Source organism: Homo sapiens, chromosome 6 (genome assembly GCF_000001405.40).
Source record: "Homo sapiens chromosome 6, GRCh38.p14 Primary Assembly".
Classification (NCBI taxonomy): domain Eukaryota; kingdom Metazoa; phylum Chordata; class Mammalia; order Primates; family Hominidae; genus Homo; species Homo sapiens.
The window spans coordinates 127,387,453-127,410,329 of NC_000006.12; the positions used below are offsets into that span (position 1 = coordinate 127,387,453).

Sequence of the window (22,877 nt, forward strand, 5' to 3'; positions counted from 1 at the left end):
CTTGCTTGGCCAAACTTTAGTCAGGCTGCTGAAGCTTCTTCTAGGCCCATCTATGCACTTTATTATACAACCCACTTTTAGCAAAGGACACTAAGTCAGTTAAGGAAATATCCCCCATTTTTTATCTGATCACTCTTGTTATCTAATTAGGTTTCTCATCTTTCACCATCCTCCAGACTTTGTCTGATCATCCTGGTCTGTTTTCAGCAAGAATCCTCTTAGATTCATTTAGTCAGAATCCACGTTACCCCTGATGTTTCCTGTCAGTAATTTTCTATCCACTGACCTCCACCCTGTTCCCTGGTCATAAGTTCCCCCTTGCCCATGCTATATTCAGAGTGGAACTCAATTTCTCTCCCCCACTGCAAAATCACATTGCAGTGGTCCTTGTACCTATTTTGATGGTTCCGAATGAAGCCTTCCACACCATGCTTTAACAAGTAGCATTGATAATTTGTTCTTTAACACTGGTAATCACCTCAGAAAGTGCCAAAAGTACTGAAGTTATTAAAGTGTATGTAGCAAAAAAGCTGATAACATACGATAAGCAGATAAGAGGGGTGGAAGCAGCCAGGATAAAAGTAGACGGCTCCATGGCCAGCACTCTCTCCTGATTCACCCAGAAGACTCTAGTAATTAGCCACAGTCAAGGGGTCTGTCACTCAGGCTTTACTTTCTGAAGCCACTTTTCTGCAGCAGGGAGTGGCACAAACTTACAAAGTCCATTCCATGCCTTTTCTTCAATAGTAGTTGAATTTTTTAGACTAACTCTACTCATTCTCTCAAGTCTTTTGTATACAATAGTATGCTTCACACCAAAAAACCCCACACACACACAAAAACAACTTGAAGAGAAGAAAGTAATAAAGACATCAATCTTTTGGAAATTAATAGTATTAAACCCAATAGACCCTGGGGTATGAACTCAGAATCTGTTATAAAGCTCTTAGCACTGTGCTGTCACTCTGGCTAGTGCAGTGGGTCAGCTAGTGACCACTCACCTAATGCCCAATCCCCTTCTTCTGCATTGTGCTAAGGGTCAGAAACATTCTCCAGATAACCTGCTGTAGTGTAAAGCTTTATCTCTCCTTCTTTTCGAACTCCTTGCCTCCTAATATTACCTATATTCTTTCAATGGAAATTGGCTTCCGTTCTTATTTCTCCATTGAAACCTGTCCTTGCTAAGTTTCCTTTGGGACTTCTTCTTCCATTGCTTGCCACTAAAAACAGTGTTCCCAAGGCTCCATTTTCAGCCTCTTATTTTTAAATCAATTTCTTTATTTTTTTTTTTTTGCAGTGCAATTTAAACAATTTATTTATTGATAAACAAAAATTATCATGTACAAGATGATGTTTTGAGATTTTTATACATTGTGGAATGGCTAAATCAAGCTAATTAACATATGCATTAACTCATATGTATATTTTGTGATAAGAGCACATAAAATCTATTCCCTTAGCAATTTTCAAGAATACAATATCTTGGCCTGGTGCAGTGGCTCACGCCTGTAATCCCAGCACTTTGGGAGGCTAAGGTGGGTGGATCACGAGGTCAGGAGATCAAGACCATCCTGGCTAACACAATAAAACCTTGTCTCTATTAAAAAATACAAAAAATTAGCCGGGCATGGTGGCGGGCGCCTGTAGTCCCAGCTACTCGGGAGGCTGAGGCAGGAGAATGGCGTGAACCCAGGAGGCGGAGCTTGCAGTGAGCTGAGATCGTGCCACTGCACTCCAGCCTGGGCAACAGAGCGAGACAACATCTAAAAAAAAAAAAAAAAAGAATACAATATCTTGTTATTAATATAGTCAACATGTTGTACAATAGATCTCTTGAACTTATTCCTCCTAATTGAAATTTGGTATCCTTTGACCAACATCTCTGCACCCCTGCACCCCCAGCCTCTAGTAACCACCATTCCACTCTGCTTTTGCAAGTTCAACATTTTTAGATCCAATATATAAGTGAGATCATGCAGTACTTATCTTTCTGTGCCTGGCTTATTTCACTTAGCATAATGTCTTCCAGTTTTATCCAGTTTATAGTTTATTTGTATTTATGCTGGCTTGTTACAACGCCTTGTCCTTTAGGCACATGTTAGCTGTGATTTGACCAGAGAAGTATGAAATAATCATGTCTCCATGTATTTTATATTGCACGTGCATATTTTGGGATTCATATAATTTTCTTTTTTATGCTCATTAAATGGATGTAAATACATTTTAAAAATGTAATAAATCTAGTTAGAGCTCCTCCCTATTGTTTAGGAGGCAATCAGAAAATTTGGGGGTTTATTGTGACGTTAGAGAGGGAGCTCTTGCTTCCTGAATTTACTTGAGTTTCCACACAAGCTGGGCCTGTCTTGCCCTCCAACTTGCAGGAAGAAAAGTGGTAAGAGCAGGAGGAGTTAATATAATAGTCTGTCTTTCTACTGCTATCACCACATACTGCCCAAATGGTCACGCTGATCTTTTCTTGCAGAGCCGGTTACATCAGTTTGGGCAAAAACAATATACCCTTCATAGTCTATCTTCTCCAGATCAAAGCTGGATTGAAGGCAAACTTGTATAAAAAGCACATTGTAAGAAAAGCTGCATAAATAACTTTTTAAAGAGATTCTAACTTACCAAGATAATTAAGTAATTTTTTAATAAGCTGGCTTTGCAGAACTCTTGCCCAGAAAACCAGAATAACAACAATTTTTCGAGGAATGCCTCTGAGAATTTTCCCAGTAAAGAGAATCTAGCTCACCTTCATTTTCCTTATTGTACAGCTACACATCAATACTGTGCAAGTGTGAGAACCAATAGCTTCAGTTCTATTTGTGAACTGGTACAGGGTAGGTTCTTGACAGAATGGTGACCCAATATTCTCTAGGCTCAACTGCTTGCACCTTGCTCTAAACCAGCTTGGGTAAAGCCTACAAACAGTTACTGTTCTACTTCATGTAGAAATAAACGAGGCAGAAGGAAGATTTAACAAAATCTAAGGCTATTACTAAGAAGAAGGAAGGAGGAGTAGATGGAAAACTAAGATTTACTGATGCTTTGTCTGGGCTCACTGTGCTATGAGCTATATATGTAATCACTTTAAATTTTCAAAAAGATATTTTTCCATTATAAGTATTTTCCTATTTTAAAGATGATAAATAAATTCATAGAAGTGAAGTCGTTATTCCTATTGCACAGAACTTGTAAGTAGCAAAATTAGGATCAAAGCTAGAAAAGTCTGATTTTGAAAATCATGCTCTTTCCACCATGTGCATTTCTTATAAGATTTCTGTCTTTGTTTTGGTTTTAGTTTTTTTCAAAAACTAAAAAACTCACCATTAATCTTCAGGGTTTATAAGTTACCAATTAACCAATATATTCCCATATGAGGCAAATGAAAATTAATAAAGCAATATTTATGAGTTGCATTCTGAAGTTGTTGGTGGCATGCATTATTAAAAAGGGGAGGAAAGCTTGAACATATCATTTTTTAAAGGATGTAAAAGAAAGAGTGAAGTTAATAAAATATATATATGGGAGAACCTATTCCTAACTTATGTAATATTTCCATTATTTAAAAATCTGTACTAACAAAACTTCCTCTAGAGTTTCATTTAACATATCAGATTTTTATATCCTATTCTCCTCCAGAACTAATAAAATAAATGAACTCAAAATACTGTTTGTGAAATGAGGACAGAGACAAGCCAGAAATTGTCTTTGAATGAGAACACATAGTTTATAGGGCCAAGAAATCTCTGGACACTCTACTGTGACTGAATAAGGAACAGAGGCATGAACTATAGTGTGGGGTAGAGAGTATAACAAATTTTTGCAATGTTGCAGCTATTTCCATGACTAAGAATATAATGTCTCAGAACCCCTCACATGCAGAATAATTGGCAGGACAAGCGTGTGCTACATTGGAGCGACTGCATGCTAGCAGGTGAGATGGAAACTTCACAGCAATAGAGTAAGGGCAACGCAACTCAATCCACAGACAACCCATTCACCTTCCTGCCTCCCAAAGCTTATAATTTCCCATTAGTGGTTACCCTCTGACAAAGCCTGAGGCTACATCTGTGTCATGTCAAGAGTTGTCTCTGTGGATGTGTAACATTCCATCATATATATAGCTGTCTTGCCTACATAATATCAAGCCAATAGGTATTTTTCCATTCATTTATCACATAAAGTTTTTGTTTCTCATTCGAATGCTTGACATCATTTAAATATAGTTCAGCACTTATTCAGAAATTTTAAAAACCTCCCTACAGTTCAGATTACCAGCATGGTATCACAGCCTTGCTATAAATAATGAGTGTATCAGTTACCTTGCTGCCTCCCTCACACAAGGCGGAAGACAAACTCCTACCCCTTCTCTCTGGAGGAGGCTCATGTTTTGGTATTTCCAGTTTATGGTTTATAAAAGACCTAATACACAATGTTATTCTATTTTTATATCTGCAAGAACTGAGACTAGGAGACTCAGGAGCTATTTAGGATATTTCAGCTCTGCCTGCCACTTTGACTCAAAGACATTTGAAAGGCCCAGTCTTCTGCAGTGAAGCCTGGCTCATTGAGATGGCTGCCCACTTAAGTAAGCTAGGTGGCTCACTAGGACAATGTGGCTTCTCTCACACAGTCACTTTGACTTATTTTGTCATTGTCAACCTGAGAGACCTTTATTTATTATATAGACTAGTGATTTTAGTTGACAGATCATCTGTCATTTATCTTTATCATTATTAACATTAGAATCACAAAATTTTAGAGCTAGAAGGAAACTTCTGGGTCATCAGAGTTATTCTGCCTTATTTTAGATAGGAGGAAACAGAGGCCAGGCTAGGTGTTGGTAGAGATACAGGTTCTCCCAGTAACCAATTGAAATTTATTTTTCCAAATCAGGCAGTATCAACCTCAGAGAGTCTAAACCTGGGTAAATGAGAGTTGCAGAGTTTTATACAGAACAAGTCCAGGCAATTCTTAGGTACATGATTCAGAGTATAGGCAAAGAGTGCTAAAAGATAGAGAAAGGTAGTCTGCATTACAACAATGTATAAAAACAAAGGATTATCGCAGGCCAAAAGCCAGCTGAGTTGCTGCACAAGGGGTGTGTCCTCTTTGGGAGGAAGATCTTTCCTGCAGGACCTGGCTGGCTGATTTCACCTGGTAAAGCAAGACTCTCAGGTCTTCTTTCTGCCATTGACCTGAGTTGTTCCTAAATATAAGAACTCTTCTTTGGACCTAGTGTATTTCTATAAAAAAAGATAATATGTGTATGTATATAGATATTCTATAGATTTCAAATGGGTAAATGTTCTTACCTCCTATCTCTTAAAAATTCTTACCTGTCCTCCCATGAAGGTTAGTGGTTTAATTTCATTCTGTTGCTATTCATCCATTTGTTTGCATTTTCTTCACTCTTTTTTTCATTTCACATTTCTTGAATATTTGCCTTATAAGATGCACATTTCATGTGCTGGATGAGATAGAAAGATGTGTAGAAGATATGCTCCCTGTTCTGAAGGATTTCACAGTTTAGTGTGTCAGACATACATGCAAATAAATTCCAATACCACAAGAATGACAGAGCCACTGATCGAGCATAGGACAGGATGCTACCTTCTTGGAGGAACTGAACATCAAAGATGAAACTTGAAGGATGAAAGAAGCTGGTCAGATATAAAGAATAAAGATTCTTCCTTGCAAGTAATGGCATGTATAAAGGCCATGTTTGGATAATAATGAGTGGGTTAATGTGGGCAGAATAAAGAGATGGGCCTAATAGCCTCATCATTAGAAGTTGTTTACCTAGTTTGAGTTTCTGGAAAAAGAAACTCTAAGACTTCTAGCTTAGGAAACAGTGTGAATAAATAGTGCATATAGTAGAAACATCTCTGAGCAAGCCCAAGGATATAGCATAGAGTTCAATTTGGGACATATGAGAATATAAAAACCATGAAGTCATCTGTAGAGGTCAATGATTGTTCTACTTTTTCTGTGAACATTTTTACCATCATTGGTGGCCTTCCTTTGCATTCTTAACAATCAGATTATAAAATAATAGATAAATGCAGTGACAGATACTAACTTGTTAAAAAGATAATGGCCTTATTTCATCCTGAAACTGGAAAGCTGGACAGTACTAAGTTTAACTGCTGTACTTAGTTTGTTAAACCAGCAGCCTTACTTAGAAACATGGTCTAGCTTTCCAGTGTTGTTCATTTTTAAAGTAATTGAAACAATTACAGCACATAACTTCAAAATATTAGTTATTAAAACAATTGACATTAGAATAGATGCAGACAGATGGGGCCTGAACAAGGCTGAAAGAGACTAATGTTTAAAAAAATCAGATCATAAATAGAGGGAAATAAAGCCATTAATTAAAAAATAGTTTAATTACCTCAGTAAATTTGGTTTTTTGCTAATTTGGTGCAATTGTCTATAAGTTCATAGATGTATTACATAATCTATTATAAACTATCATGTAGTTTTGAAATAGAATAATACCATATATTTCTTATACTTTTTTTTCCTTTTTTTTTTTTTTTTTTTTTTTTTGAGACAGGGTCTCGCTCTGTTGCCTAGGCTGGAGTGTAGAGGTGCAATCGTGGCTCACTGCAGGCTCAATTTCCCAAGCACAGACGATCCTCCCACCTCAGCCTCCCGAGTAGTGGGACCACAGTTGCATGCCACCATGCCTGGCCAATTTTTGGCATTTCTTTTTTATAGAGACAGGGTTTCGCTATGTTGCCCAGGCTGGTCTTAAACTTCTGGATTCAAGTGAACCTCCCATCTGGACCTCTTACAGTGTTAGAATTACAGGTGTGGACCAACGTGCCCAGCCTCTTTTTTCTCAATATTTTTGTATTTTTAGTAGGGATGGGGTTTCACCATGTTGGCCAGGCTCTCTCGAACTCCTGACCTCAGGTGATCCACCCACCTCGGCCTCCCAAAGTGCTAGGATTACAGGCTTGAGCCACTGCGCCCGGGCAAAATGTTATTTTTTTAATCTGATATTTTCATCACATGATTTCTTTTGGCTTTCTCCTTCTCAAAATGAAATATTGTATATTTGTTGATCAAAAATATCTTTTTTTTTTTTTTGAGACCAAGTCTTGCTCTGTCACCCAGGCTGAAGTCAGTGATGCGATCTTGGCTCACTGCAACCTCTGCCTCCCAGATTCAAGCAAATCTCCTGCCTCAGCCTCCTAAGTAGCTGGGATTACAGGTGCATGCCACCATGCCTGCTAATTTTTGTATTTTTAGTGGAGATGGGTTTCGCCATGTTGGCCAGGCTGGTCCTGAGCTGACTGCAGGTGATCTGCCTGCCTTGGCCTTCCCAGGTGCTAGGATTACAGGCCTGAGCCACTGCACCCAGCCAAAAATATCTTAGTTAAGTTGCATTAGAATACAAAGATGGGTACGTTTGGAAAAATTCATAGAACATGATTCTAAGGCAAGCTACTACACAACAAAATGAAATTGCAGTCTGACTAACATTCTTAGCAGGATTTACCAAGATCTGGTCTCAGCACACCCATAAGCCCCCTTAATATAAATAGCCCCTCTTATATTTTATAATATAAAATAGCCCCTCTTCTTGATCAATTCCAGACACACTGATATGCCTTCAGTTCTTATAGCTTATCAAGCTTCTCACTAACATAGACCCTGGGTTTTACAATTGCTTTCCACAGAAGACTCTTTTCCCATCTCTTTGCCTAACTCCTACTTGTCCTCTACCTTTTAATTAAAGGACATTTTCTCAGGGAAGCCTTTCCTGGTGCCCTAAATTAGGTAAGGTTCTCTGTTAAATACTCTCAACATCCCATATTTTTCCTTCATAGCATTTAATTGACCATAATTAAATAATGATCTATATAATTGCCAGTTTAATATGTGTCTTCCTGAAGGATCTGTAGACAATTTTGAGGACAGTCAGCATTTGTTAAATAGATAAATGAGAAACATGAAGGTGTCGTACCTATGGAGACCCTTTCTTGCTCTAATTATTGTTTACTATAGGGACTGCTCATGTCCAGGAACAAATGGCACTAGATATCCTCATGGTGGGATTTGGCAACAAAAGACTTTGCAGCAAAGAGTACAACCTCTTCAGTCTCCCTTGTTAAGGGCAAGTTAGAGACTGGGAAAGAGATTGCTTTCTTGGTGTACCAGTGAAAATTCTCTTTTCACCTGTCCCTTCTCATGGGAAGACTAGCATGTCTCCTCCTCTGCCATCCTCTTTACTCTCAAGTCAGGCACTTGCTGAGTTGTAGGATCTACTGTTTCATCCTGTGCTTCTGGAGTGCGAAGAAATATCTTTAGGATAAGTTGTCTAGGATACATGCAAGGGGCAATCAAAAATCAAAAACTAGAATAAAAGTGTTTAAAAAGCAACAGTAATGAATGAGATTTTTTTGGTGAAAGAAGAGAGAGAACTGAAAGCTGTGGGCCACCTACATTTAAGGGGCCATCAGAGGAAGGTAAAAAGCACCCTGATGGGAGCAACCAAAGTTAAGGAAAGAAAATAGATTGCAGGGGATGGGGGCCAAGAAAAGAGAATCTTTCAAGACACAAAGTCAGTGCCTTCAGTGCTGCAGAAGTTGAAAATGATTTTATAACTTTCAAAATTACTACAAGCAAGGAGATTTTAATAGCCTTAGGGTTATTATTTATTTATTTATTTATTTTTAAAATTAATTTATTTATATCATATAAGAAATTTTAAATAAACTTAGAAAACAGTCCAGGTGTGGGGGCTCATGCCTGTAATCTCAGTACTTTGGGAGGCTGAGGCAGGCGGATCGCCTGCAGTCAGCAGTTCAAGACCAGCCTGGTCAATATAGTGAAATCCCATCTCTACTAAAAATACAAAAATTAGCTTGGTGTGGTGGCAGATACCTGTAATCCCAGCTACTCAGGAGGCTGAGGCAGGAGAATCTCTTGAACCCAGGAGGTGGAGGTTGCAGCAAGCCAAGATCGTGCCACTGCACTCCAGCCTGGGCATCCAAGTGAGACTCTTGTTTCATAAATAAATAAATATATAAAAAAAAACTTAGAAAACAGAGGAAAGAAGAAGGAACATACCTCATCACATAAACGCACACACACCAATAGCAATTTGGTATAATAGCAATTTGGTATAATTATTTACATATTTTTATTTTTATTTATTTATTTTTTTGAGACGGAGTCTCTCTCTGTCACCCAGGCTGGAGTGCTGTGGCGCGATCTCGGCTCACTGCAAGCTCCGCCTCCCGGGTTCACACCATTCTCCTGCCTCAGCCTCCCAAGTAGCTGGGACTAAAGGTGTCCACCACCACGCCTGGCTAAATTTTTGTATTTTTAGTAGAGACACGGTTTCACCATGTTAGCCAGGATGGTCTTGATCTCCTGACCTCGTGATCCGCCCGCCTCATCCTCCCAAAGTATTGGGATTACAAGTGTGAGCCACCGCGCCCGGCCAATTATTTACATATTTTTAATACATGTTTTTATTTTTTGTGTAATGAAAATCAATGACTATATAATGAGGTATAGTTTCTTCAAATTAAAAATAATCTTTTATAGTTATAAAGTTATATCTCAGTCAGGTAGAAAATTCAGATTCAAAATACTTTACTTTTGAATACAGATTCAAAATACTTTATTCAAAATGATGAAACTCTGACCTCCTTCTGGTGATGTCCAGATGGCCTAATTGCTTCATCTTATACTTCTTTTGTTAGAGGTGTTGGAACCAAAGCAAATCCATCTTGACCTGCTGGGCTATATTCCCAGGAGGTTAAGGCATTCTTAGTCACAAGATAAGATAGGAGGTTGTTGGTAGAAGAGCTGAGGCGGGACTAGCTTGTCCGTCATAATGTAAAAGAGTCTTGGAACACGTCCTGGGTCCAGGGTCTAAACCCCCTCGTGGCCTTTGGAACACCAAGTTCTGTGCCAAAGGGTGGAAGGCTGCCCTGCTGCACTACAATCTAAGCCCAGGGCATAAAACCTCTCATGGCTTGGATGGAATCCAAGGCTCAGGGCATAAAACCCCTTGTGGCCACTGGAATGTGCACAGACTTGCTCGTTCCTTGCTTCTTGCTCTCCCAGGCTCATAAACATGTTCTCCATTATCTCAGGTAGCAGAACATATTACATTTGTGTCAAAGAAAATACTAAACAGTCACAACTGTGCTTGATGCACTGCTACCTTTCTACCCCCACGTCCTCACGTCCTCACCTGTTTACCCCCACATCCTCACATCCTCACCACCTGCTTCTTTGTTTGATCACCAATAAATAGTGTGGGCTTCTAGAGCTCCAAGCCTTCGCAGCCTCTATACTAGTGTTGGCCCCCTGGACCCACTTTACACATTCTTAACTTGTCTTGTCTCATTCCTTTGACTCCAACAGACTTCGTAGCCCACAAGGCCTGGTGTTGGGCCTGATCATCCCAATAGAGGTCAGCACAATATGTAGATCACAAAGACCTTGCTGATAAAACAGCATGTGGTAAAGAAGCTGACCACATCCAACCAATACCAAGATGGAGAGAAAGTGACTTCTGCTTATATTCACTGCTCATTATGTGCTAATTATAACGCATTAGCATGCTAAAAGACACTCCCACTAGCACCATTACAGCTTACAAATGCCATGGCAACAGTCAGGAAGTTACCCTATATGATCTAAAAGGGGAGGAACCCTTAGTTCCAGGAATTGCCCATCCCTTTCCCGGAAAACTCATGAATAATCCACCCTTTTTTAAGCATATAATCAAGAAGTAACAATAGGTATAGGCAGCTGAGGAGCTCTTGCCACTGCTCTGCCTATGGAACAGCCACTCATTTATTCCTTTGCCTTCTTAAACAACTTGTTTTCCCTTTACTCTACGAGCATGCCCTGAATTCTTTCTTGTGCGAGGTCCAAGAACCCTCTCTTGAGGTCTGGATTGGGACCTCTTTCTGGTAACACTTTCACAAACAGTTTGTCTATTATCAAGTAACTTTTTTTCCAAAACATGATCTTGTAAGTGCTTATAGCATAGCTTTCCAAATTGCTCTGTTGGACTGGACAAAAACAAAACCAAAACCAAAATAAACATTCTCCATATCCAAAAGTTACTAGCTCATACAAATATCTCTTTTAAATATGTTTAATTAGATGAATTATTTTTATATTATGTGATTTAAAAAGATGAGTTCAAAGGTTAAAAAAGTTTTGTTCTAATTTTTCATGGTGATCTAACTAGAAGAAAAAGGCCAACGAATATTGGTTGAATAAATAATAAAAAAAGGCAAATAACGTATTTCTGCATCTTTGCCCTACAGAAAGAAGGGTAATGAACAGGCTAACTTTGACTGTTTTTTTGTTTGTTTTTTATTTTGTTTTCATTTTTTTTGAGATGGGTTCTCGCTCTGTCTCTCAGACTGGAGTGCAGTGGCACGATCTCGGCTCACTGCAACCTCTACCTCCTTGGTTCAAGCAATTCCCCTGCCTCAGTCTCTCGAGTAGCTGGGATTACAGGTGCATGCCACCATGCCTGGCTAATTTTTTTGTATTTTTAGTAGAGAGAGTGTTTCACCATGTTGGCCAGACTAATCTCGAACTCTTGACCTCAGGCAATCCACCCGCCTTGGCCTCCCAAAGTGCTGGGATTACAGGCATGAGCCACCGTGCCTGGCCTTTTTTTTCACTCTTGTTGCCCAGGCTGGAGTGCAATGGCACAATCTCGGCTCAATACAACCTCCACCTCCCGGGTTCAAGAGATTCTCCTGCCTCAGCCTCCTGAGTAGCTTGGATTACAGGTTCCCGCCACCATGCCCAGCTAATTTTGTATTTTTAGAAGACACGGGGTTTCTCCACGTTGGTCAGGCTGGTCTCGAACTCCCAACCTCAGATGATCCTCCTGCCTCTGCCTCCCAAAGTGCTGGGATTACAGGCATGAGCCACTGTGCCCAGCCTAACTTTGACTGTTATAGACAGTATAACACGAATTTTAAAATATAAAATATTTTAAGGAGGAAGACTGCCCTGCCTTTCTCTAAGTTCACATCAATTTGGGTCCTGATACCAATAATAATGTTTTTGTTACATTTAACCCCAATTGGGATGAGGTTCTAAAGGACTTCCAGATCTGATCCTTTTCCTCTCATTTTTATTTCTACCTGCCTAGAGCTACAAATCAAATTTAATAGCTCAGAAAGGGGAGTGTTGCATCCCATCTGTTAGAAGACCAATTATATTGTTTATTTGTTTCTCCCCACTTGGCCAAACAATATTCTTTTACAAAGTTGATTTTCTTTTTTTTTTCCTGTATCTGTTATATCTTTGGCTGCTTGGCCTCATGGCTTATTAATACTTCTTGCCTTTTTGCACCTCAGCTTTACATGTTTTTGGTCATCCTCTGTGAGGGTGTTTATGCATTCTACCATCAGCTTTCTGTCAAGTATCTCATTACTGCTTTCTTAAGGACAATGGAGGTCCTCTCACCTGTTTATCTCTGTGGATGAGAACAACACTGTATCCTGGGTACAACCCTGGTGTTTAAACTCTTTATCAGGACATACCTCCCCCACAGAGTGTGTGTGTTATGGGGTAAAATGGAAGAGGAGGGAGACAAAAAAAGCAAGAGGGTTTCCTGCCTTCTTTTCTCCTGTTACCATTTTCATTTCACCCACTCAGTGTTATGCTTGTTCTACTCCAGGCCATGCTGAGAAGCATCTGCTGACCCTGACTCTCCCTGCTTCCCAGCCTGTTCCTTGAGAAGGGAACACCCTGTACAGATGCCTCAATACCTTTCTTCAAACTCTCCTTCTAGCAGGAAGGAAATTTACTTTACCCGCCCCTGTGATCAACCCCCAACCCCTATCCTATGCCCAAACATCCTGAGTGTTCTAAATCCTTGGGTTATTTCCTCAGTCTAAATAATTCATATTAAAAAGACAAAGATTCAGAATTTTTAAGCCATTCTTATCTGAATTTGTTACCTGTATTAGTTCATTCTTACATTGCTATAAATACCCGAGACTAGGTAATTTATAAAGAAAAGAGGTTTAATTGGCTCACCATTCTGCAGGCTGTACAAGAAACATAGCAGCTTCTGCTTGGCTTCTGTGGAGGCCTCAGAAAACTTACAATCATGGCAGAAGGTGAGTGGGGAAGCAGGCACATCTTACATGGCTGGAGCAGGAGGAAGAGAGACAGTGGGGTGGTGCTACACACTTTTAAACAACCATCTCTCTCAAGAACTCTATCATGAGAACAGCACCAAGAGAATGGTGCTAAACCATTCAGGAAGGATCCACCTCAATGATCCAATCACGTCTCACCCGGCCCCACCTCCAATATTGGGGATAACAATTTGACATGAGATTTGGACAAGGACACAGATTTAAACCATCTCACTTCCTCTGCTTGAGTTGACCAGACAATAATTCATACCAGTGGTATGATTCTATCAGGCTCTGTCTGATAGAATATGAGCCATTTACAATTCCTCTTCAATTTCTTTCTTTCTTTTTTTTTTTTTTTTTTTTTGAGATGGAGTCTCGCTCTGTTGCCCAGGCTAGAGTGTAGTGGCGTAATCTCGGCTCACTGCACCTCCACCTCCTGGGTTCCAGTGATTCTCTTGCCTCAGCCTCCCGAGTAGCTGGGATACAGGCGCCCGCCACCAAGCCCAGCTAATTTTTGTATTTTTAGTAGAGACAGGGTTTCACCATCTTGGCCAGGCCGGTCTTGAACTCCCTGCCTCGGCCTCCCAAAGTGCTGGGATTACAGGCGTGAGCCACTGCGTCCTGCTTCCTCTTCAGTTTCAAGATTGTTTCTGGGAGCTCTGATGTCCCTGATTTTATAATATACTCAAGGACTTCCATAAAACATGCAATATGGTTTTATGGGAAGTGATTTGAATGCTGCTGTCCATTACCTAATGTGACATTATTTTAGGAGAAAATTCTTTCCAGTATTCCAAGTTTCCGGAGGAAGATTTTTCTGGGTGTGATTTTCTGGGGTCTCTGAGATTGTGCCTGGTTCAAGGTGCTGCACTCTCTTCCTGTTCACAGAGCCCATTTCAATTCAGAGTCCTCCCCACCAATCAGCCTGCCCAGTCTAAAAATCTGCCTCATAGTGACTCTAAAGAAAAAGGCAGAAATCAGAAGACAGCATAGCCAATGGTGAACTTCAACTGAACCTAGGCCTATGCAGGTTCTTGAGCTACAGCCCTCGCCCCTGACATGTTCTAATGTCCAGTCAAAAAAAGGATGGAAAGAACAATGATTACAAGAAATGTTCTATTATGTGTCCTGACTCAGAAATAAAATGAGAAGGGGTAATAGCTAAAATTGGCTTTAGACTGCTTGCTGAGTAGTTTTATCTAAAATATGAAAGTAAATGAGGGCTATATATATATAATTTAAATAATATATTGTATTTAATGTAATATATACAAAAAATTATATCAATATCTAAACAATACAGAAGTGATTAATGAGATAATTTACATTCTCATTTATTGGTAGTGAGTCTTCAAAAATTTGTGTGTATTTTACATGTATAGCACATCATTAGTGGTTTTGCTAAAGATATAAAAAATAAATGTTATAAAATGTATGATAATTTATTCATTAAATTTATCTTTATTGTGTTACTCATCACATCACCTGTCTATCAACAAAACACCCTGATATGTGTAACAGTAATTGAATTCAGTCAAATTTGGTATTTTGCATACTTTCAGTCATATAAAAACCATAGTGTTTACACATATTTTGCAATTTTGTTGCTATGATGGTGACATATAGATTATGGGTCTCTTTTTGTACTATTGCCCTAAGCCCCACAAATGTTAGGGGCAGGCCTGATTTCTTTCTTTCCACCCTACAACCAAGTACAATTGGATAAGAGACTCCAGGAGCCCTCATCCTCTTTCCTGACAACACTTATCACCATGCCTTCTTATTCCTGAATATTGTCTGACATAACCTATAATTATTTTCAACCTTTTCCCTTTTAATGAATAAATATTTAAACTAGTGTAGTGTCTTTTTTCAATCTATGGGTTCTTTCACTTATATCATCTATTTGATGTATAACGAATTCCACAAGGTAGGTAGTAGCACATAAGGAAAGAGGCTGAGAAAGTTCAAGTGATGTGACTCACACTTAACAGTTAGTATCTCTGCCGGGTGCAGTGGCTCACACCTGTAATCCCAGCACTTTGAGAGGCCAAGGTGGCTGGTAAATCACCTGAGGTCAGGAGTTCGAGACCAGCCTGAACAACATGGAGAAACCCTGTCTCTATTAAAAATACAAAATCAGCCGGGCGTGATGGCGCATGCCTGTAGTCCCAGCTACTCAGGAGGCTGAGGCAGGAGAATCGCTTGAACCCAGGAGGCAGAGATTGCAGTGAGCCGAGATGGCGCCATTGCACTCCAGCCTGGGCAACAAGAGTGAAACTCCATCTCAAAACAAACAAACAAACAAACAAACATCCCAAACAATTAGTATCTCAGGGCTTCTCATTCTAAGTTCTTGCTCTTTCAAATGTATTTTGTTTCCTCATTTTGGGTGTGATTTAGACCAGAGGAAATGGGAGCCAGGAAGCCTTTTAAGTGGAGCAAAAGCATGAGCAAAGAAGTAGAAAATAGCAGTTCAGTTGGGCCGAAGCCCGTGGTCTGTGTTAAGGAAAGATAAAAAATGTGGGAAAGAACAGAGCTGTATTGATGAAGCCTTGGATGTCAAAGTTGGGATTTTGCATTTTATTCTGATGACTGAAGCAATATTTTTTAGAGAAAGTAATTGAAATAAAGAAGTTTTATTTTTTATTGATAAAAATGTCATCAATGTACTCGAGAGGAAGCTGGTATTCATCTGAGTAGGAGAAGGAGGACAGATCAGTAGTTGAACTTGCACTTGAGATGAGAAGCATCTGCCACCCACACCTTCCTATTGTTCTACCTTCCTAATCCTGACCAGCTGTTTCCTTAGTGTGTACAACTGGTTGTACGGGTGGCAGGGTTACAGAGGATAGATGGGTCAGTTCCAACTTGTACCATTTTTTTGCCACATGCCCAAATGAGGATGAATTAGTCACATTTTTGCACACTAAGGACAAGGCATTTATTTTTTCAACTGATATATAGTATTTTTATAAACTTCTGGCTTAAGAGGCAGACAAAAATTATATGTTTAGATTTTTTTAAAAAATTATCAACATGGCAGAGTAATCACTTTAAACCCTGTGTGAGATCATGCCATGTCTTTGCTTAAAACCCTGAAATGGCTATTTTACTCAGGGTGCAAGCATAAGTCCTTAAAACATCCTACAAGGCCCTACACAACTTGGTTCCTTATTACCTTTCAAGTTTCGCTTCTATTTCTGTCTCTCTTGCTCACCCTTTGCCACACTGGAGTCTTTGCTGTGCCTCTGACACACTAGGCACATTGCTGTCTCAGGTTGTTTTAACTTGCTATTTCCTCTGTCTAAAACAAGCTTGTCTAACCCATGGTCCGTGGGCTGCATGTGGCCCAGGATGACTTTCAATGCAGCCCAACACAAATTCATAAACTTTCTTAAAACATTATGAGATTTTTTTTGGTGACTTTTATTTTTAGCTCATCAGCTATCATTAGTGTTCGTGTATTTTCTGTGGCCCAAGACAGTTCTTCCAGTGTGGCCCAGGGAAACCAAAAGATTAGACACCCTTGGCCTAGGGCACTCTTCCACAGATACCAAAAGAGTTTACTTCCTCACCTCCTCCTGGTTTTTGCCCAAATATCCTCTTCTCAGTGAGGGAGTCCTCTCTAATCACTCTTTAAATGGAATCCTCACCCCAGCATACCCTATCTCTTTCTGTTTCATTTTCCAACATACCATCTGACATTCTGTATCTTTTATTTATGTATTGTTTTCAGTACCTCTTCTGGTAGAAAATAAGCACCAAGGGAAGGTATCTGAGCAGTTTTGTTCATGGTCATGTCTCTCAAGACCTTAGAACAGTGCCTGACACATACAGGTGCTTGATAAATAGTTGTCAAAATAAATGAGGCCTTTTACTTCCTGATGGTTGGGCATAACATCTTTTTGAACATCTTAGTTTATTAAAGAAATTGCTAATCTTCTTATTCATTTCAGTGAATCTAGAGAAATTTCTTCATCCTCCTGATTATTTTGGGTTTCTGAATTAGATGTTTTATTTTTATTTTTTTTCCTGGGGTTGGCAATGTCACCAGGGTTTTAATTAGTGTGACTAAAGATGAGCTGTTTTCTTCTAGATCAGAGACTGGGGCATGTCAAAGCCTGGGTGTAGTGAATTTTTATAATTTTATGTTGCCTTGGCATCCATTTTGAGTATAAGTTTAACTTCCTCATACTAGAATCAGGGGTTAGTCACCCTTGAAACAGTTTGCAGTTCTATACCATGCCCAAATGGCTCAAGCCAATGGCCAAAGCTAAGAACTTCTGGATGTCTCCCCCGCTAGCAGATTGTACTCCCTGCTTTCCCACTGCTTCCTTTAAACAGACCATATAGGCATTTGCCTGTGAACTTAGTAACCTACAGCCTAGTCCGTTGTCTATCCTGCTAGTTGCCACACACACTCTTTCTCAATACCTAACTCTTCATGTTCTCCTCTTGTGCCAGGGGATGGAAGATTGCCCTCCAGATTCATCGCACCCTTCTTGCCCAGATTCTGAAAGTAAAAATCCTTGAACTTCCTATTTTGGTGGTGGTTTGAATTTGCTCCTTCCATTCTCAAGAACCAAACTGCAGGCTGGGTTTTCCCTGGGATGTCAGGACTAACACACAGTTGACCTCTCAGCCCCAGAATGATGGTTAGGTAGGCATACACTAAACACAGGTCAGATAAGAGCCACAAGAGTGTCTTCCAGTATAAATAAGTTTTCCATGTGAGGAACCCCTTGTCATTGGTCAAACAACTAGACATTATGCTCTTTGCTAGGTGAAAGACCCACGTCCAACTCCCCCTCATTTATCTTAGCAGGGCTGCCAGTGGGGCAGGGTTGCTAGCCACTCTGCTACTGGAATCCTAGTTTATCTGTGGGATCCCAAGACAATGGGACCTTGTGAAATCTCTATCTGCTGGCTGGGATATGGATACTGTCTGTGATCAGATATATTATTACTCATTCTGTCTAGTCTGTCATTTTCACTCTGATTATATCTTACCTGTATGTATTTAATTTGTGCTATTACAATATTGTTTTATGCTCACCAACCTCCTAACTTTGGAAAGGATTCAAAGCATGTATATTTTCTGTCTGTAGCCAGTTTTTATACTTGAAGGCAAAGGACCAGTTTTCTATGATGTTCAAAATGATAGTGTGTACAGAGGCTCAATAAATGTAGGTTGACTTGGTGCAGTGACTACTGTCTTTTAATGCCACAGAAATTATTGTCATAACACATGGGTATCAATCATACCAAGCTATATAAGATCCATACAAGAAGAAATAAATTTTTTATGTCCTGAAAAATATCAAGAAATATGGAATCAGAAAATGGAAGGAAAGGAATAATTAAGAGTCATTTTATATTATATGGCTTCAATGTTTATATCTAATTATTTAAGCATTGAAAACATTTCAGAATGCAGATTATCCTAATGTGTTTTGCTTTCATATATTTTATAAAAGTAATTGGTATAATATTCATCAAAACCATTTTAGTGATCTCTTCAAATCCATAGATTCTCCTTACACTTCAGTGCCAGAGAATTTTAGAAGTAGGACCAAGGTCTGTTGAAGAAAATACTAGTGACGTGGCCTTTATTATGTTGTCTCAGCAAGGTTGAAGATAACGATTTCAGCCCTGATCTATAAAGATAAAGAGGCAATGTTTTCTAACACAAGATCTCACCTATTGGTAAGTCTTAAAGCCCCACCCTAACAGAGTATGAACCAGTTGTTACTGCTATCTCATTCATTTCCTCTCTGCCATGCTTCTTCCCGGTTTCTTGGTTATCTCAAGGCCTTTGGGAAACAAGACTGTTCTTCAGAAAATGTTTGAGGTCCTTGAATACAGAGACTATTTACTAGAGATGATAATGACCCAAGTTTCTTATATTAAAAACAACAACAACAACAACAACAACAATTCTTTGAATTTCTGGGCACTGCTACAAAGAAAGAGTTGACATAAGTGTATATCTTTGTTTTAAAATATACTCTAAGTTCTAGGGTACATGTGCACAACATGCAGGATTGATACATAGGTACACATGTGCCATGTTGGTTTGCTGCACCCGTCAACTCATCATTTACAATACGTGTTTCTCTTAATGCTATCCCTCCCCCAACCCCCACTCCGTGACAGGCCCCAGTGTGTGATGTTCCCCGCCTTGTGTCCAAGTGATCTCATTGTTCAATTCCCACCTATGAGTGAGAACATGTGGTGTTTGGTTTTCTGTCCTTGTGATAGTTTGCTGAGAATGATGGTGTCCAGCTTCGTCCATGTCCCTGCAAATGACATGAACTCATCCTTTTTTATGGCTGCATAGTATTCCATGGTGTATATGTGCCACATTTTCTTAATCCAGTCTATCATTGATGGACATTTAGGTTGGTTCCAAGTCTTCGCTATTGTGAATAGTGACACAATAAACATACATGTGCATGTGTCTTTATAGTAGCATGATTTATAATCCTTTGGGTATATACCCAGTAATGGGATGATGGCTGGGTCAAATGGTAATTCTAGTTCTAGATCCTTGAGGAATCTCCACACTGTCTTCCACAATGGTTGAACTAATTTACACTCCCACCAACAATGTGAAAGCTTTCCTATTTCTCCATATCCTCTCCAGCATCTGTTGTTTCCTGACTTTTTAATGATTGCCATTCTAACTGGCATGAGATGGTATCTCATTGTGGTTTTGATTTGCATTTCTCTGATGACCAGTGATGATGAGCATTTTTTCACATGTCTGTTGGCTGCATAAATGTCTTCTTTAGAGAAGTGTCTGTTCATATCCTTTGTCGACTTTTTGATGGGGTTGTTTGATTTTTTCTTGTAAATTTGTTTAAGTTCTTTGTAGATTCTGGTTATTAGCCCTTTGCGAGATGGGTAGATTGCAAAAATTTTCTCCCATTCTGTAGGTTGCATGTTCACGCTGATGGTAGTTTCTTTTGCCTTGCAGAAGCTCTTTAGTTTAATTAGACCCCATTTGTCTATTTTGGCTTTTGTTGCCATTGCTTTTGGTGTTTTACTCGTGAAGTCCTTGCCCATACTTATGTCCTGAATGGTATTGCCTAGGTTTTCTTCTAGGGTTTTTATGGATTTAGGTCTAACATTTAAGTCTCTAATCCATCTTGAATTAATTTTTGTATAAAGTATGAGGAAGGGATCCAGTTTCAGCTTTCTACATATGGCTAGCCAGTTTTCCCAGCACCATATATTATATAGGGAACCCTTTCCCTATTTATTATTTTTGTCAGGTTTGTCAAAGATCAGATGGTTGTAGATATGTGGTGTTATTTCTGAGGCCTCTGTTCTGTTCCGTTGGTCTATATATCTGTTTTGGTACCAGTACTATGCTGTTTTGGTTACTGTAGCCTTGTAGTATAGTTTGAAGTCAGGTAGCATGATGCCTCCAGCTTTGTTCTTTTTGCTTAGGATTGTCTTCTCAATGAGGGCTCTTTTTTGGTTCCATATGAACTTTAAAGTAGTTTTTTCCAGTTCTGTGAAGAAAGTCATTGGTAGCTTGATGGGAATGGCATTGAATCGATAAATTACTTTGGGCAGTATGGCCATTTTCATGATATTGATTCTTCCTATTCGTGAGCATGGAATATTCTTCCATTTGTTTGTGTCCTAATTTACTTTGTTGAGCAGTGGTTTGTAGTTCTCCTTGAAGAGTTCCTTCACATCCCTTGTAAGTAGGATTCCTAGGTATTTTATTCTCTTTGTAGCAATTGTGAATGGGAGTTCACTGATGCTTTGGCTCTCTGTTTGTCTGTTAATGGTGTATAGGAGTGATTTTTGCACACTGATTTTGTATCCTGAGACTTACTGAAGTTGCTTATCAGCTTAAGGAGATTTGGGGCTGAGATGATGGGGTTTTCTAAATATACAATCATGTCATCTGCAAACAGGTACAATGTGACTTCCTCATTTCCTAATTGAATATCCTTTATTTCTTTCTCTTGCCTGATTGCCTGGGCCAGAACTTCCAACACTGTGTTGAATAGTATTGGTGAGAGAGGGCATCCTTATCTTGTGCCAGTTTTCAAAGGGAATGCTTCCAGTTTTTGCCCATACAGTATGCTATTGGCTGTGGGTAAATAGTTCTTATTATTTTGAGATACGTTCCATCAATACCTAGTTTATTGAGAGTTTTTAGCAAGAAGTGCTGTTGAATTGTGTGGAAGCCCTTTTCTGCATCTATTGAGATAATCATGTGGTTTTTGTTGTTGGTTCTGTTTATGTGATGGATTACATTTATTGATTTGCATATGTTGAACCAGCCTTGCATCCCAGGAATGAAGCCAAATTGATCATGGTGAATAAGCTTTTTGATGTGCTGCTGGATTCAGTTTGCCAGTATTTTATTGAGGATTTTCACTTCGATGTTCATCAGTGATACTGGTCTAAAATTCTTTTTTTTTGTTATGTGTCTACCAGGCTTTGGTATCAGGATGATGCTGGCCTCATAAAATAAGTTAGGGAGGATTCCTTGTTTTTCTATTGATTGGAATAGTTTCAGATGGAGCAGTACCAGCTCCTCTTTGTACCTCTGGTAGAATTTGGCTGTGAATTCATCTGGTCCTGGACTTTTTTTTGGTTGGTAAGCTATTAATTATTACCTCAATTTCAGAGGCTGTTATTGGTCTATTCAGAGATTCAACTTCTTCCTGGTTTAGTCTTGGGAGGGTGTATGTATCCAGGAATTTATCCATTTATTCTAGATTTTCTAGTTTATTTGCATAGAGGTGTTTACAGTATTATCTGATGGTAGTCTGTATTTCTGTGGGATCGGTGGTGATATTCCCCCTTTATCATTTTTTTATTGCATCTATTTGATTCTTCTCTATTTTCTTCTTTATTGGTCTTGATAGTGGTCTATCCATTTTGTTAATCTTTTCAAAAAAACAGCTCCTGGATTTGTTGAATTTTTGAAGTGTGTTTTTGTGTCTCTATCTCTTTCAGTTCTGCTCTCATCTTAGTTTTTATTTCTTGCCTTCTGCTAGCTTTTGAATGTGTTTGTTCTTGCTTCTCTAGTTCTTTTAATTGTGATTTTACGGTGTCAATTTTAGATCTTTCCTGCTTTCTCTTGTGGGCATTTAGTGCTATAAATTTCCCCCTACACACTGCTTTAACTGTGTCCCAGAGATTCTGGTACATTTTATCTTTGTTCTCATTGGTTTCAAAGAACCTCTTTATTTCTGCCTTCATTTAGTTATGTACCCAGTAGTCATTCAGGAGCAAGTTGTTTAGTTTCCATGTAGTTGTGTGGTTTTGAGTGAGTTTCTTAATTCTGAGTTCTAATTTCATTGCACTGTGGTCTGAAAGACAGTTTGTTGTGATTTCTGTTCTTTTACATTTGCTGAGGAGTGCCTTACTTCCAATTATGTGGTCAGTTTTAGAATAAGCGCAATGTGGTGCTGATAAGATTGTATATTCTGTTTATTTCGGGTGGAGAGTTCTGTAGATGTCTATTAGGTCTGCTTGTTGCAGAGCTGAGTTCAGGTCCTGGATATCCTTGTTAACCTTCTGTCTTGTTGATCTGTCTAATATTGACAGTGGGGTGTTAAAGTCTCCCATTATTATTATTATTATTATTATTATTATTATTATTTTTCTTTGAGATGGAGTCTCGCTCTGTGACCCAGGCTGGAGTGCAGTGGCGTAATCTCGGCTCACTGCAAGCTC

General features: G+C 39.2%; 2 annotated features.

The window, feature by feature from the left end:
* Positions 10,283 to 10,470: a silencer, noted in NCBI's record as "fragment chr6:127718880-127719067 (GRCh37/hg19 assembly coordinates)". NCBI's record gives its function as "represses an EF-1alpha promoter that drives an FKBP-Casp9 reporter gene in an ReSE screen in HepG2 liver carcinoma cells and phorbol 12-myristate 13-acetate-treated (for megakaryocytic differentiation) K562 erythroleukemia cells {active_cell/tissue: HepG2 | K562(+PMA)}" and the evidence as "EXISTENCE:reporter gene assay evidence [ECO:0000049][PMID:32094911]".
* Positions 16,789 to 16,898: an enhancer, noted in NCBI's record as "active region_25040". NCBI's record gives its function as "activates an Ori minimal core promoter by ATAC-STARR-seq in GM12878 lymphoblastoid cells {active_cell/tissue: GM12878}" and the evidence as "EXISTENCE:reporter gene assay evidence [ECO:0000049][PMID:35858748]".